The sequence below is a fragment of the Homo sapiens genome, chromosome 22 (genome assembly GCF_000001405.40).
Source record: "Homo sapiens chromosome 22, GRCh38.p14 Primary Assembly".
NCBI classification, from domain to species: domain Eukaryota; kingdom Metazoa; phylum Chordata; class Mammalia; order Primates; family Hominidae; genus Homo; species Homo sapiens.
In genome coordinates, this window is record NC_000022.11 from 28,310,330 (window position 1) to 28,327,655 (window position 17,326).

The 17,326-nt window shown below is 36.8% G+C and overlaps 1 protein-coding gene across 11 annotated transcripts in view, besides 1 other annotated feature; it reads right to left on the reverse strand.

Moving 5' to 3' along the window:
* The window catches only part of TTC28 (tetratricopeptide repeat domain 28), a 701,827-nt gene that overhangs the window by 332,316 nt on the left and 352,185 nt on the right, over positions 1–17,326 (reverse strand). The window lies entirely within an intron of this gene.
* Positions 5,207–6,406: an enhancer, noted in NCBI's record as "MED14-independent group 3 enhancer chr22:28711524-28712723 (GRCh37/hg19 assembly coordinates)". NCBI's record gives its function as "activates an origin of replication core promoter dependent on BRD2, BRD4, P300/CBP and CDK7 cofactors, and independent of MED14, by STARR-seq in HCT116 cells {active_cell/tissue: HCT116}" and the evidence as "EXISTENCE:reporter gene assay evidence [ECO:0000049][PMID:35650434]".

The window sequence follows — 17,326 nt, forward strand, 5'->3', positions numbered from 1 at the left end:
AAGTATTTATGCCCTATTGTTAAAATTGTTAGTATTATTAGCATTTGCTTTTTACTAAATGGCATTTCTCTCACCCCAGAGGGTTGAAATAAAAACACTGAAAGGCTAAATAAGTGAAACAGTAAACAATTCACTCTGCAAGTACCTCTGGAAGCAAGGAAAGACCTTTAGTCTTTACTTTCAACACATCATTCCTGGTTCAGAATTCCAAAATGTCACTGAACCAAACAATAACCTAATATTCTACTCTCCCTTGGCCTAAATGAGTAACGAGGTAAACTACCATGTTCACAGGTACATGTGTATAACAACATATGTAATAAATATATGTAATATGTAATGATATATAGAATAGTATATACTCATATGTACAATGCATAACCTAGTACTTATTTCAAGTATTTGCAAATAATCTGCCTTTGATTTTATCTGTATTTTCAAATGTTATAATTTAATTTTTTTTTTTTTTTGAGACAGAGTCTTGCTGTCACCCAGGCTGGAGTGAAGTGGCACAGTCTCAGCTCGCTGCAACCTCCACCTCCCCAGTTCAAGTGATTCTCCTGCCTCAGCCTCCCAAGTAGCTGGAAGTTCAGGTGCGCACCACCACTCCCAGCTAACTTTTTAATTTTTAGTGGAGGCGGGGTTTCACCATGTTGGCCAGGCTGGTATCAAACTCCTGACCTCAAATGATCTACCCACCTTGGCTTCCCAAAGTGCTGGATTACAGGCATGAGCCACCGTGCCTGGCCTACTTTAATATTCTTAGTCGATATTTCAAATTTGGAATTTGAACTTTTAAAATCTCCTGAAGAATAATTATTTCTAATTATAACATGGTTTTATAGCTTCTAGTGAATATATGCTTTCCATATAATCACTATCTTTGTTCAACTATACTTGTAAATCACATGACTTTTTTACTAAATTTTCCCTTTATTTTAAAGATGATTAGAAATGGGGAAAATAGAAATGCTGATGCTAGTTTTTAAAAAGCAGCACCACTGATTTATAATTTAACACAACTGGGTCAAAAGCAAAAATGATTATAAGAGGCCAAAACTAAAAAACTTTAATATCACTGTATGTATACAAAACAACTTTGTTCAATTGTGATGGAAAACGATAAAATTAGAGAATATGTAAACCTTGGTTTTAAAAGAAAAACTGATTTTTGAAAACTTTATATTTTTAATTTTTGCAGGTACACAGTAGGTATATATATTTATGGGATACATAAGATAGTTTAATACAAGCATACAACGCATAATAATCACATCAGAGTAAATGGGGTATCCATCACCACAAGCATTTATGCTTTCTCTGTGTTGCAAACAATCCAATTATACTCTTTTAGTTATTTTTAAATGTACAATAAATTATTGTAGGCTATAGTTATCCTGTTGTGCTACCAAATACTAGATCTTATTCATTCTATATAACTATATTTTTTTACTCATTAACTATCTCACCTTACTCGCCCCCACACACACACTACCCTTTCCCAGACTCTGCTAACCATCATTCTACTCTATCTCCATAAGTACAATTGCTAAATGCCCCCCAATTAAAAGATACAGACTGGCAAATTGGATAAAGAGTTAAGACCCATCAGTGTGCTGTATTCAGGAGATCCATCTCACGTGCAAAGATATACACAGGCTCAAAAGAAAGGGATGGAGGAAGATCTACCAAGCAAATAGAAAGCAAAAAAAAAAAAAAGCAAAGGTTGCAATCCTGGTCTCTGATAAAAACAGCCTTTAAACCAACAAAGATCAAAAGAGACAAAGAAGGCCATTACATAATGGTAAAGGGATCAATTCAACAAGAAGAGCTAACTATCCTAAATATATATGCAACCAATATAGGAGCACCCAGATTCATAAAGCAAGTTCTTAGAGACCTACAAAGAGACTTAGACTCCCACACAATAATAGTGGGAGACTTTAACACCCCACTGTCAATATTAGAGCAACGAGACAGAAAATTAACAAGGATATCCAGGACTTGAACTCAGCTCTGGACCAAGCGAACCTAATAGACATCTACAGAACTCTCCACCCCAAATCAACAGAATATACATTCTTCTCAGCACCACATCACACTTATTCTAAAATTGACCACATAATTGGAAGTAAAACACTCCTCAGCAAATATAAAAGAACAGAAATCACAACAAACTGTCTCTCAGACCACAGTGCAATCAAATTAGAACTCAAGATTAAGAATCTCACTCAAAACCACACAACTACATGGAAACTGAACAACCTGCTCCTGAATAACTACTGGGTACATAACAAAATGAAGGCAGAAATAAAGATGTTCTTTGAAACCAATGAGAACAAAGGCACAATGTACCAGAATCTCTAGGAAACATTTAAAGCAGTGTGTAGAGGGAAATTTATAGCACTAAATGCCCACAAGAGAAAGCAGGAGAGATCTAAAATCGATACCCTAACATCACAATTGAAAGAACTAGAGAAGCAAGAGCAAACACATTCAAAAACTAGCAGAAGGCAAGAAATAACTAAGATCAGAGCAGAACTGAAGGAGATAGAGACACAAAAAAACCTTCAAAAAATCAATGAATACAGGAGCTAGTTTTTTAAAAAGATCAACAAAATAGATAGACCACTAGCAAGAAAAATAAACAAGAAAAAAGAGAAGAATCAAATAGACGTGATAAAAAATGATACAGGGGATATCACCACTGATCCCACAGAAATACAAACTACCATCAGAGTATACTATAAACACCTCTACGCAAATAAACTAGAAAATCTAGAAGAAATGGATAAATTCCTTGACACGTACACTCACCCAAGACTAAACCAGGAAGAAGTTGAATCCCTGAATAGACCAATAACAGGTTCTGAAATTGAGGCAATAACTAATAGCCTACCAAACAAAAACAGTCTGGGACCAGACAGATTCACAGGCGAATTCTACCAGAGGTACAAAGAGGAGCTGATACCATTGCTTCTGAAACTATTCCAATCAATAGAAAAAGAAGGAATCCTCCCTAACTCATTTTATGAGGCCAGCATCATCTGATACCAAAGGCTGGCAGAGACACACACAAAAAAAGAGAATTTCAGACCAATATCCCTGATGAACATCGATGCGAAAATCCTCAGTAAAATACTGGCAAACCGAATCCAGCAGCACATCAAAAAGCTTATCCACAACAATCAAGACGGCTTCATCCCTGGGATGCAAGGCTGGTTCAATATACGCAAATCAATAAACGTAATCCATCACATAAACAGAACCAATGACAAAAACCACATGATTATCTCAATAGAGGCACGAAAGGCCTTCAACAAAATTCAACAGCCTTTCATGCTAAAACCTCTCAATAAACTAAGTAAGATGGAACGTATCTCAGCATAATAAGAGCTGTTTATGACAAACCCACAGCCAATATCCTACTGAATGGGCAAAAACTGGAAGCATTCCCTTTGAAAACTGGCACAAGACAAGGATGCCCTCTCTCACCACTCCTATTCAACATAGTATTGGAAGTTCTCGCCAGGGCAATTAGGCAAGAAAAAGCAATAAAGCATATACAAATAGGAAGAGAGGAGGTCAAATTGTCTCTGTTTGCAGATGACACGATTGTATATTGAGAAAACCCCAACATCTCAGCCCCAGACCTCCTTAAGCTGATAAGCAACTTCAGCAAAGTCTCAGGATACAAAACCAATGTGCAAAAATCACAAGCATTCCTATACACCAATAACAGACAAACAGAGAGCCAAATCATGAGTGAACTCCCATTCACAACTGCTACTAAGAGAATAAAATACCTAGGAATATAACTTACAAGGGATGTGACAGACCTCTTCAAGGAGAACTACAAACTACTGCTCATGGAAATAAGAGAGCACACAAACAAATGGAAAAACATTCCATGCTCATGGATAGGAAGAATCAATATTGTGAAAATGGCCTTATTACCCAAAGTAATTTATAGATTCAATGTTAATCTCCATCAAGCTACCACTGACTTTCTTCACAGAATTGGAAAAAACTACTTTAAAGTTCATATGGAACCAAAAAAGAGCCCACATAGCCAAGACAATCCTGGGCAAGAAGAACAAAGCTGGAGGCATCACGCTTCCTGACTTCAAACTGTACTACAAGGCTACAGTAACCAAAACAGCATGGTACTGGTACCAAAACAGATATATAGACCAATGGAACAAAACAGAGGCCTCCTAAATAACACCACACATCTACCACCATCTGATCTTTGACAAACCTGACACACACCAGCAATGGGGAAATCACCCACCTTCTGCATTGATCTCGCTGGGAGCTGCAGACTGGAGTTGCTCCTATTCGGCCATCTTACCAGCCACCCTCCCTATTTCTTTATACCAAAATTTAAAATATTAGTCAGATGTAGTGGCATGTGCCTGTAGTCCTAGCTACTTGGGAAGCTAAGGTGGGAGAATTGCTCGAGCCCAAGAGTTCAAAGCCGTAGTGAGCTATGATGGTTCCACTGCATTACAGCCTGGGAAACAGAGTGAGACCTTATCTCTAAAAAAAAGAAAAAAAATTCTCCAAGTTTGTACAGATTGGCTGTGTACTGGGGACTATCTGCAGTCTTTTGTATAGGTCGCTGGGGATTGTTTGTTTGCAATACAGTGTTTTTGAGGAATATTTGCTGCTTTTCTTCCCTGAAGGAATTTTGAGGTAGGTGAAACAAAGGCAGATACCTTGCATTAATAATATAGGTAGTCCCCAGACAAGTTAGATCAGATAAACACAATCATTTGAAGATAAAGTTTGCTCTGCTCCCTAGAGAACCAGAGACCGAGTTCTCACTATAGGAATGCAGAATGTCAAGTTTAAGACTCTCAACAAGCCAGGGAGGAGGATGGGACAAGGTGAAGCTAAAATGTCAAAGACTTTTATGCCATTTGGAAGTTGCTTTCTTCTGGATTTGGATTTTTTTTTTTTTAACTGGTGTAAACCTGTGACTGTGTTCTAGAGTTCTGACAAAGTTGGTATTGACAATTTTTCTTTAGTTTTTGATATTGCTTCAGAGGGACAGGCCCTTGGAGCTATGATATCTACTTCTCCATTTTTGCTTAGATTCCTCCTTGTTATCATGTTTAAGAACTTTTTATCTAACCCTTGGTTACAAACATTTTCTTCTAAAATTCTTATAGTTTTACTTGTTCACATTTAGATTTGTGGTCCAGTTTGAGTTAATTCTTATATAAGGTGCAAAACAGTGTTTTAGGTTCATTTTTATTTATATGAATGTCCAATTGTTCCAATGCCATTTATTGAAAAGAGTAAGTTCCTTTCTTTTTTAGTTCCTTTTCCACCTTTGTAAAAAAATCAGTTGTTCATAGTTGTGTGGGTCTATTCCTAGACTCTCTATTCTGTTCTATTGATATTTATCTACCCCTTCACAACATTACTGTTACAGTCTCGTCAATGCACCACAATGTAGCAGTCTCAGTTGTGAGGTATTACCTAGAGTTCTTTGTCTCATGACAAAGAGAATGAAGGAGCAGGGACACAAAGGATGAGGTTGGAGTGAAAGTTTCATAAGTGAAAGAAGAAAGCTCTCAGCTGCGATGAAGGGATCCAGAAGAGGGGTGCTGTTTTTACAGTTAAATGCAAAGACTTTTATAAGAAACTGATGAGGGCTGGGTGTCTTATTTGCATAAGGCACAAAGTTCTGGTAGTTCCATCCCATTCTTTTAATGCGCATGTGGGCCCTAAGCTTGAGTTACTCCATATTGCTTTATTCCGCTTACTGCACATGTTCAGGGGATGGAATTTTCCATTGCAGGTGTGTTTGGGCAAGTCACCTGTGCAGCCTTTCTTATCTGTGTGGCTATGGGCATGTCTTAGGCAAGCCCGACTGTGCAAGTTCCCTTATCTGTGCCTGCAGGCTGTTCTTTTGCTTGAAAGAATTCAACAGATGACCTACCCTAACTGCCTGTCTGACCCGTTTCTTCCTTTCTCCTCTCTCATTACATTGTGTTGATTACTGTAATTTTTTAGGAAGTTTTAAAATTGGGTACTATGATGCATCCAACTTTTTCTTTTCAAAATTGCTTTGGCTATTTTAGTTTCTTTGCTTTTCCATATAAATCTTTTTAGACTCAGATGTCTATATGTACAAAATATCTTGTTTTTCATTGGCATTATGTTAAATCTATTTGTATTGGTTCAATTTTGGGAGAACTGGCATCATAACTATAGTTAGTCTTTCAGTTCATAAACAGGCTATGTTTCCCCATTTATGTTTTCATTTTGATTTATTTCATGAGCATTTTTTTAGTTTTCATTGTAAATCTCTTACATATATTTTGTTACACTTACATCTAAATAATTCATTTTTTGGAGCTATTGTTTTTGAAAGTTCAGTTTTCAGTTGTTCCTTGCCAGTATGAAATATGATTGAATTTTGCATGCTATTAATTTTTTTTGAGACAAGTTCTTACTCTGTTATCCAGGCTGGAACGCAGTGGTATGATCATGGCTCACTGCAGCTTTGAACCCCTGAGTGCAAGTGATCCTCCCACTTAAGCCTCCTGCATAGCTGGAGCTACAGGTATGCACTACCATGCCTGGCTAACTTAAATTTTTTTCTTTTTTTTTAGAGAGAGGATCTCGCTATGTTATCTAGGCTGGTCTCAAACTTCTGGGCTCAAGTGATCCTCCTGCCTTGGCCTCCTAAAGTGCTGGGATTATAGGCTTGAGCCACTGCACCCTGCCTGTTACTGTACTTTTATGTTTTAAAACATTTACTTATTCATTTTTATATCTTTTATTTCTTTTCTGAGTGTTTCTGTCTTTCCATTTGTTATAACGGTTGCCTTTACTTCTTAGAGAATGGTTGTAATAGCTACTATTAAAATCTTTGTGTGATAATTTTAACCTTTATGTCATCTTAGAGTTGTTGTCTATTGATTGATTTCCTTGTGAGTTGAGATTTCCTTGGTCTTTCATAGGCCAAGTAACTTTGGTTTATATTCTGGATATTTTGTTATTATCTTATGAATCTTTATATCCTGTTTATATTTTAAGAAGAACGTAGTTATTGTTTTGTTTAACAAACAATTTACCTAGTTAGATTCAGGCGATAAGTTTCAATGCACATTTTATAGACTTTATTCCCAATGTCAGTTAACTTTTCACAGGTTTTGTTGTTCTATTAGGACCTGTCCTTCATATGCGCCACTGAGTGTTCTGAGAACTGGAGAGTAGCCTATCCTATACTTTTCACAGCCTTTGGCATGCTATTTAGGGCAAGAACCATACACTACATAATGGGATTGCTCTCATGAGCTCACTCCTATATCTGATATCTTCAACACTTTCCAGCTCTCTGACTGTCTTCCTTCCAATCTCCAGCCAAAAGGTAGGACTTTAGTTTCCCTGTGTTGCCATACATATCCTGTAATTAGGTCTACATAAAGTATCAAGCAGTGAAAATGCAGAGAGAGGAAAAAAGTATTGTAAATCAATCTGTACCCTTAAGACCACAGCTCCTATAGTCACAGAGAAGGGTCTCCTTCCTGAGAATTTAGATGCCTGCCCATTATACACTGCTTTTGCTTGTTGTTTTGGGGTCTTGCTCTGTCACCCAGGCTGGAGCACAGTGGTGTGATCATGGTTCACTGCATCCTTGACATCCTGGGCTCAAGTGATCCTCCCAACTCAACCTCCCAAGTAGCTGGGGGTACAGGTGTGTGCCACCAACCCAGCTAATTAATTTTTTTTTTTTTTTTTTAGAGATGAGAGTCTTACTATGTTGTCCAGGCTGGTCTCAAACTCCTGGACTCAAGTGATCCTCCTGCCTCGGCCTCCCACAGTGCTGAGATGAGAGGCATGAGCCACTGCCCCGGCCGCCTCCACTGCTTTCATCATCCCCATTACTGCTGACTTGCCTGGAGTGTGGATTGTGAGAGAATGTTAAGAAAACCAGATTTTCTTTATTCTTTCTGACCTTAAGAGTTCCCTTTTTTGCTTCTCTGACCAAAGAGAAGGCTTTTCTTGGTGCACTTTCTGTTTGCACCCAGTAAGTGCATCCTGATTTGAAGCTGCCTTTGAATCCAAGCTGGTAACACCAGATGGGAAAGAAAAACCAAAACAAATCAGGAAACCCACTGCTTGCTTGTTACTGCTTTGACTTTTGTTCTCCTCCCTTGAGTCACCTGCTACCATTTACTCTTCAGAGTCTTCAGAAAGCTATACTATGAAGTCTTTTCAGGGTGTAGTTGTGTTCAATGGAAAAGATTAAATGAAGTGTACTTGTTCCACCTTGCTTAGAACTGGAACCTCTTTTTGAAAAGATATAAAACATGTTGTATTTTTATACTAGTAAGTATTGAGAGGCAGTCATTTTTCTTTTCCTGTTTTTTCATTTTGATACACGGTACCCTACACACATGTCAATGTAGAAAGATCATATAACATGGGACGGAGAAAAATGTAGGCTGGGAAGTGTATTCTTTTTTTTTTTTTTTTTTTTTTTTTGGACAGAGTCTCGCTCCTTTACCCAGGCTGGAGTACAGTGGTGTGATCAAGGCTTATGAAAGCCTTGACCTCCTGGGCTCAAGTTATCTTCCTGTCTTAGCCTTGCAAGTAGTTAGGACTACAGGTACGTGCCACCATGCCTGGCTAATTTTTAATTAAAAAAAATTTTTTGTAGAGAAAGGATCTTGCCATGTTGTCCAGGCTGGTTTTGAACGCCTGGACTTAAGCGATCCTCTCACCTCAACCTCCCAAAGTGCTGCAATTACAAATGTGAGCCATCACTCATGGCTTCTAAATTTATTCTGTAGAAAAATGTGTGAAATATTTATGCAAGTGTTTTTTGGGCGTATATTTTTGCCTTTCTGCCCTGTTCTCATCACTTACTCATGTCACCCTGTTCAGGTCCCTTCCTCAGAAGCATGTTCTTTTCTGGAGACTCTTATTACTCACTAGCAATTGAAGCAACTGACAAAGGTATTAGTTGTCAGTAAGCCAGCAATATTTCTTGAACTTTGCTTTCCCAAACACCTAAAGTCAGAAGAGAGGGACTATTCCAAGAATTGGAGCCAGAGGAGGAGTAGAGATGGGCATTTCTTTGTATTTCCTCTTTTAAAAAACTGTGTGAACTCTTCATTTTATTCTATAATTTTTATATTAAGATAATCCTCTATAGATTATAACAAATAATATAACACTGTGGTGTGGGATGTCAATAATGGGGGAGGTTATACATGTATGAGGACAGGAGTATATGGAAACTCTACTGTCTGCTCAATTTTGCTAAACCTAAAACTGCTCTAAAAATAAAGCTTATTAATTTAAAAAATTCTCTTCTCAAAACTTCAAATAACTTTGACATTTCATGAGATGTGTCACATTAGCGTATTGCTTTGCTCTTCTTTCTGGTATAATGCTAGAGAATTCCATTTGAATAATTTGAAGGGAAAAGAAAGAGTTGATAGCCAGAAAGATCAAAAGAGTAAGTCATTAATGGTAGAATTTCATCTGCCTGAAGAAGCCTTATGCAGAGTGCCCATATCTCAGTGTATATCTACTTAGAGTAATAATTTTTCATAGACTGCTTTCTGGAAGGAGTATATAGATATCTGACATGGTTTGGGTGTAGTTACATTACGGTAGGCAAGATGCCACGTGTTTTTTTCAACAGTTGGTGAGAATTTTGGCTGCTTTAATTCCCATGTTTTTGCTTCACTGTTTTTTTCCTAATCCACCATTCTCTCTGCTACTACTATTTTTTCCATTCTGGTTCTGGTCTTACCATATTGCTCAGGACCAGGACCAGGCTACATGCATAAAAGCACACATTTGCTGTGTTCTAGGGCTGGGAGAGGATTGGTAGGGCAGGGGCACAGGACTCATGCCAAAGACAGATGATTTCTTGGAGAATGTTCAGGTAATTCTCTAGGTTTTTTTTTTTTTTGGCATGACTTTACACATTTCCTACACTACACCCATAGAATGAAGGCACAAGATATGGAAAATTCAGAACCATTGCTCTAGGGGACTGCAAACTTCTTTCATTGTTTATGTTTTAAGTTTAGAAGAGAGAAACTCCAAGTGATGCTATACACATTTTATAATCTGACATAAATTGTACTTCGGGATTCCCGCCACTGCTAGAAAATGACACCTACTTAGTTATTTAATTCCTGGCTGGCATTTTAGTCTTTTCTTTGGCTTCTTATCAAATTTCTAATTCCTTTTTAAAATATGATTTTCTCATAAACCTGTCACCTTAATAACACTTTTGATACAATTAATTTAACATTAATTTTGGGAAAAGAGTAGCTGATACATGAAACAATCAGAACTGAGAGCAGGTTTCCTTTAGAAATTGATTCTAAATGTACCAAAAGTCAATCTAAGAGAGAGAAACAATTCACAGCTGCAGATTTGGCTAGAACATTTATGTTTAGGGCATTTGGACCTCTGATTCTGGGTTCCAAACTAAATAATGGTGTTTTCTAAAATAGCTCCCAGTCCTTTTGCATGTGCTTTCAGCATACAATATGACAGAAAATAGAAGTGAAAAATAGAAGTGTAGTTTTCTGGAGAGGTAGGAATATTTACTCCCAGCTGATCAGGTAAAACACATTGTGACATGAAGAATGTGTTCTTTGCTGATTCTCAAGGTTTTATTTTATTTTTATTTTTAATATAAACTGTCAACAAATAGAAGCAAGAGGAAATTCACTTGAAAATATCAGAAGATAAAAGAAATATAGCAAATTATACTGCTGGTAAAAAATCCATTTTTAGGCACCAAACAAACAGGCATTGGCTGAGAAGCTTGCTGATGGCTTCTTTTGTTTCTCTTTGATTTAAATCCTTATGCCTGTAATCTAATTAACATCAAACTGAGTTGCAAGTATAGTGGCCTGTTTGGTTCAATAATAATACATTTATATGAAAGGTTAATGAAATGAATTTTTCCTCCATCCAATTCATTAAAAATTGTTCTACAATCAACGGTTGCTAATGGAATAGATATTAAATATTCATGTTCATAAATTTTCTGTGTCATTTCTGATTTTCCTTCATTTCTGCCTCCATACATTGAATTTTACAAGTATAAGATTCTTAAGACAAAAAGCTGATTTAGAGGTTAATTGCACACCATTAATTCTTTTATCAAGGAAGCAGTGTGGAAAGTGGAGAGAGAATATGACAGTAGACTTGTCTCACTTTGTAGCTCTGTGATTTGGGGCAAGTTTTGTAACCACCTCTTTTGTGCAATAGTCATCATAAGAACTTCTTGCAGGGTATTGTGAGGGTTAGTGATAAACTATGGAAAGCACCCAGCACAGTGTCTAGTACAGAGTAGCTATCCCACAAATGACAACTTAGAAAAAGTTTTGGAAAATAAAATACCTACATATATGCAGCAAAACTTAGGATAATTTATAGTGGCAGGAATGATATGACAATACTGGACTTTTTAATTCTAAAATAGGTATCACGTTTGGGCCTTGGAAAACCCTGTAATAATTATTTTTGAGACTGAGTCTCACTCTGTCACCCAGGCTGGAGTGGCAAGATCTTGGCTCACTGCCACCTCCACCTCCCGGGTTCAAGCGATTCTCCTGCCTCAGCTTCCTGAGTAGCTGGGACTACAGGTGCCCACCACCATGCCCGGCTAATTTTTGTATTTTTAGTAGAGACAGGGTTTCACCATATTGGCCAGGCTGGTCTCGAACTTGTGACCCTGTGATCTGCCTGCCTCAGCCTCCACAGGTGCTGGGATTACAGGCATGAGCCACCGTGCCTGGCCAATAATTCTAATAATCAGTGTATCAGTATAAGTCTCTGATAGGAAGGAGTGTTTCATGTGCCTTTAGACAGATTTTTGTATTTCTGTTTTCTGGCACCTGTTCTTTCTTTTCCATTCAAGCCAAAGGACATTATTTAACCTGCATTTAATGTCTTTTCCAAATAATGAACTTACTAGATAACTGCAGCCTGCCCAGTCAACTGCCAAAGTATAAACATAAAAAAAAATTTTTTGACTGAAAAGTTTCCCTGACACGTATTATCTATTATATAGGCTTTTGGAACAGAAGATAACAAATATAAATTAACTACTTCCTCAATGACTCAGGGAGATCATTATGATCATTAATGTTTATTTTGTGCCTAATTTTTGTCACTCCCTTACCTCCTTTACAAAAGGTGACTTATAATATGTGAGCTGGTGAAGAAGATGAGCCACCTCAAAAAATAGAGCGTAACAGTGAAAGAATCACTTCTGTTCAATATTAAAAGTGCCTCGTCCATCAGCCCTATTCTGGCACTGAAAATACTGAGCAGGAGCATTTCCTAGGCACATTAGTTATATTTTGCTAATATAACAAATGATCACAAAGTTAGTAGCTTAAAACAACACACATTTATTCTCTCACAGTTCTGGAGCTGTTCAAATGCCCAGAATGAGTCTTACAGGGCTCTAACATCAAGGCATCCATAGGGCTGTTTCCTTCTGGATCCTCCAGAGAAGAATCTGTTTCTTGCTTCTTCCAGCTTTAGAATCTAGCTGCATTCCTTGGCTCATGACCACTTCCTCCCATCACTTCAAACTTATGCTTCAGTCTTCAACATTTTCTACTGCCCTCTCTTATAAGGACCTATCTGATTACATTGGGCCCACACACATAGGCCCCCAACTTGAGATTCCGAATCACATTGACAAAGTCCTTTATCATGTAAGGTAACATTTCTTACAGGTTTCAGGGATTAGGGCATGGACATTTTTGGGGTGCCATTATTCAGCCTACCACGCTGGGCAATCTCAGGCTAGTCACTTAACTTTTGCAAGCCTAGAATAAATATTTAACTCTTCAATGCACAGACACTGATGAAGATCTACAAGCATCAAGACCATCCAGGAAAGTATGACCTCACCAAATTAACTAAACAAAGCACTAAGGGACCAAGCCTGGAGAGACAGGGATATGTGACCTTTCAGAAAGAGAATTCAAAATATTATAGCTGTTTCAAAGAACCTCAACGGAATTCAAGATAACACAAAAAACTATTCAGAATCCTATCAGATAAATTTAATAAAGGGATTGAAATAATTAAAAAGAAGCAGAAATTCTGGAGTTGAAAAATGCAATTGATATATGAAAGAAGGCATTACAGTCTACTAACAGCAGAATTGATCAAGTAGAGGAAGGAATTATTAAGCTTGAAGACAGGCTGTTAGAACATAGAGAGACAAAAGAACAAAGAATAGAAAACAATGAAGTGGGCTTACAGGATCTAGAAAACAGCCCCAAAAGGGAAAAATCTAAGAGTTATTAGCCTTAAAGAGGACGTAGAGGGTGAGATCAGGGTGGAAAATTTATTCAAAGAGAAAATAACAGAATTTTGCCAACCTAGAGAAAGATATCAATATTCAAGAACAAGAGGGTTATAGAACACCAAGCAGATTTAACCCAAATAGGACTACCTCAAGGCATTTAATAATCAAACTACTAAAAATCAAGAATAAGAAAGGATCCTAAAAGCAGCAGGAGAAAATAAATAACATACAATGGAGCTCCAATACAGCTGGCAGCAGACATTTGAGTGGAAACCTTACAGGCCAAGAGAAAGTGGCATGACATATTTAAAGAGCTGAAGGAAAAAATTTTTACACTATAATAGTATATCTGGTGAAAATATCCTTCAAACATGAAAGAGATATAATGACCTTCCCAGACAAACAAAACCTGAGGGATTTCATCAACACCAGGCCTATTCTAAAAGAAATGCTAAGGGAGTTCTTCAATCTGAAAGAAAAGGACATTGATGAGCAATAAAAAATCATTTGGGCTGAGTGGGGTGGCTCATGCCTGTAGTCCCAGCCATTTGGGAGGCCGAGGTAGGTGGATCACTTGAGCCCAGGAGTTCAAGACCAGCCTAGGCAACATGGCAAAACCCTGTCTCTGCAAAAAATTCTACCAAAGGTACATAGAGGAACTGGCACCATTCCTTCTGAAACTATTCCAAACAACAGAAAAAGAGGGACTCCTCCCTAACTCATTTTATGAGGCCAGCATCATCCTGATACCAAAACCTGGGAGAGACACAAAAAAAAAAAAGAAAATTTCAGGCCAATAATCCCTGATGATCATTGATGCAAAAATCCTCAATAAAATACTGGCAAACCAAATTCAGCAGCACATCAAAAAGCTTATCCACCATGATCAAGTGGTCTTCATCCCTGGGATGCAAGGCTGATTCAACATACACAAATCAATAAACGTAATCCACTACATAACAGAACAAATGACAAAAACCACATGATTATCTTCAGTAGATGCAGAAAAGGCCTTCGATAAAATTCAACACCCTTCATGTTAAAAACTGTCAATAAACTAGGTACTGATGGAACGTATCTAAAAATAATAAGAGCTATTTATGACAAACCTACAGCCAATATCATACTGAATGGGCAAAAACTGGAAGCATTCCCTTTGAAAACTGGCACAAGACAGGGATGCCCTCTCTCACCACTCCTATTCAACATAGTGTTGGAAGTTCTGGCCAGGGCAATTAGGCAGGAGAAGGAAATAAAGGGTATTGGTCTAAAATTCTCTTTTTTTGTTGTGTCTCTGCCAGGCTTTGGTATCGGGATGATGCTGACCTCATAAAATGAGTTAGGAAGGATTCCCTCTTTTTCTATCAATTGGAATCGTTTCACAAGGAATGGTACCAGCTCCTCCTTGTACTCTGGTTGAATTCGGCTGTGAATCCGTCTGGTCCTGGACTTTTTTTGGTTGGTAAGCTATTAATTATTGCCTCAATTTCAGAGCCTGTTATTGGTGTATTCAGGGATTCAACTTCTTCCTGGTTTAGTCTTGGGAGGGTGTATGTGTTCAGGAATTTATCCATTTCTTCTAAATTTTCTAGTTTATTTGCATAGTGGTGTTTATAGTATTCTCTGATGGAAGTGTGTATTTCTGTGGGATCAGTGGTGATAATCCCTTTATCATTTTTTATTGCATCTATTTGATTCTTCTCTCTTTTCTTCTTTATTAGTCTTGCCAGTGGTCTATAATATTTTATATTATGTGAACCTCATCACACTAAATGAAAATTTTTAAAAATTAACACTGAAACACAGTCCATAAAGGAAGTTTTACAAGCAGGGCTTCCTCAAAATTAAAAGCTTCTGCTCTGTGAAAGACATTTTTAAGAGAATGAAAAGTCAAGCTACTTTTCTAGAAGAAAATATTTGCAAAATACTAACCCAAAAGAGGATGTATATCCTTTATATACAAAGAATTGTGAAAACTTACTGGCTAGAAAACACAAAACCCAATTTTTAAAATGGGCAAATAGATTTGAACCCACTTCAACAGAGAGGATATTCAGATAGCAAATAAGCACATGAAAAGATGTTCAAAATCATTAGCCATTAAGAAAACACAAATTAAACTATAATAGAATACCACTATATACCTATTAGAATAGCAAACAAATAAAAAAGGAAAAATGACAATACCAAGTGCTAGTGAGGACAGAGAGAACCTGAAACTCTTATATATTGCTGGTAGAATACAAATTCTAGAAAATGGTTTGGCAGTTTCTTGTAAAGTGAAATTTAGACTTATCATATGACCCAGCAATCCCACTCCTAGGAACTTATCTTAGAAATAACAACCTATATTCACATAAAACCAGTATATGAATATTTATAGCAGCTCTATTCATAATTTCCCCAAACTAGAAACAATCCAAATGTCCTTCAATGGGTGAATGGATAGACATGCTGTGATACATCCATACAATGAAACACAAGTAAGCAACAAAAAGAAACAAAACTATTGATGCATGTAATATGGGTGAAACTCAAAGGGATTATGCTGAGTAAAAGAAGTCAGTCTACATACCATATAATTCCATTTATATGACATTTGAAAAAGGCAAAAGTATAGCAATTAGTTGTTGCCAGGGTTTTAAAGGTAGAAAATTTAGAAGTGATAGAACTGTTCTGTATCTTAAGTCTAGTGGTAGTTAAATGAATGTATACATGTGTTAAAATTCATAGAACTACACACACAAACAAGTCAATCTGACTGGAAAGGTTTGAGTAAATAGTGGTAACGATTATATGACTTTATGAATGTAATTCATGCCACTAAATTGTACACATAAAATGGTTAAAATGGTGAATATTACATTATATGTATTTTTTCACAGCATTGGCATGTGAACTTGTTGTTTTCACTAAATGAGTCAGTTAAGATGGGAATGCTTGTTTTATAATTAAAGAGTGAGAACAAAAGACAGATACCTTTTACTTGGAGATATTATCAGAAGAAAGCATTGACAGTTTTATGACAGCAAGGTCAAGGCATCTGCTAAAAATGTTATAAACCGATTTCTTTGCAAAGTCTGCTTCAACTTTTTATTTTCCAAGTCTGATTTTTATTACTAGCATTTAGCCCATTTGCCAATTTCTCCAAACTGAGTCAAACTATAACTCAGATAAAATCAAGCAATAAGTATATAAAGATCAATCCAGGGTTGTGAGACCTGTGGAAGATTGTTTTAAATATATTATACTAAAGGCGTTTTTAAAAGTAAATTAGTACTTTGGACATCTCAATGAAAAGCATACACAAACACAAACACACACACACACACACACACACACACACACACACACACAGCAAGCCCTATTGTGAAATAAAAATAATACGTAAAAATGAAATGTGCTTTGTATTTAAAAAGTGCCAAAAAACACTGTGGAAGAAGAGTTACTCATATGCATATTACACCTTATGTAAATGTGTATTATTTAAAGTAAAGCCCCAAAATTAAATTATGTGACTAGACATAAATAATGAATAGAAATATGTGCAGTTGATCTTATTATTCACAGATTCTGTATCCGTACATTCACCTAATTATTAAAATGTATTTGTAACCCCAATTCTCATATTGTAAGGTATCCTTTTTGTTGATTTCACTGTTTAAAATGACCCCCAAGTATAGTACTAACGTGTTATCTAATGTTTCTAAGCTCAAGGAGGCTGTGATGTGCCTTACAGAGAAAATACTAGTTTGGTAAGCTTTATTCAGGCATGAGTGATACTGCTGTTAGCCATGAATTCAATGTTAATGAATCAACAATATATATTAATCAGATACCTTTAAACAGAAGCACATATAAAAGAAGGTTATGTATTGATCAGTTGACAAAAAGGTTGTGACCAGAGGCTCACAGGAACCTAACCCTCAAACAGTTCAGTATTTGCTAACTCAGTATTTGCAGCAACTTCAAATAAAATAACTACCGTAAATAATA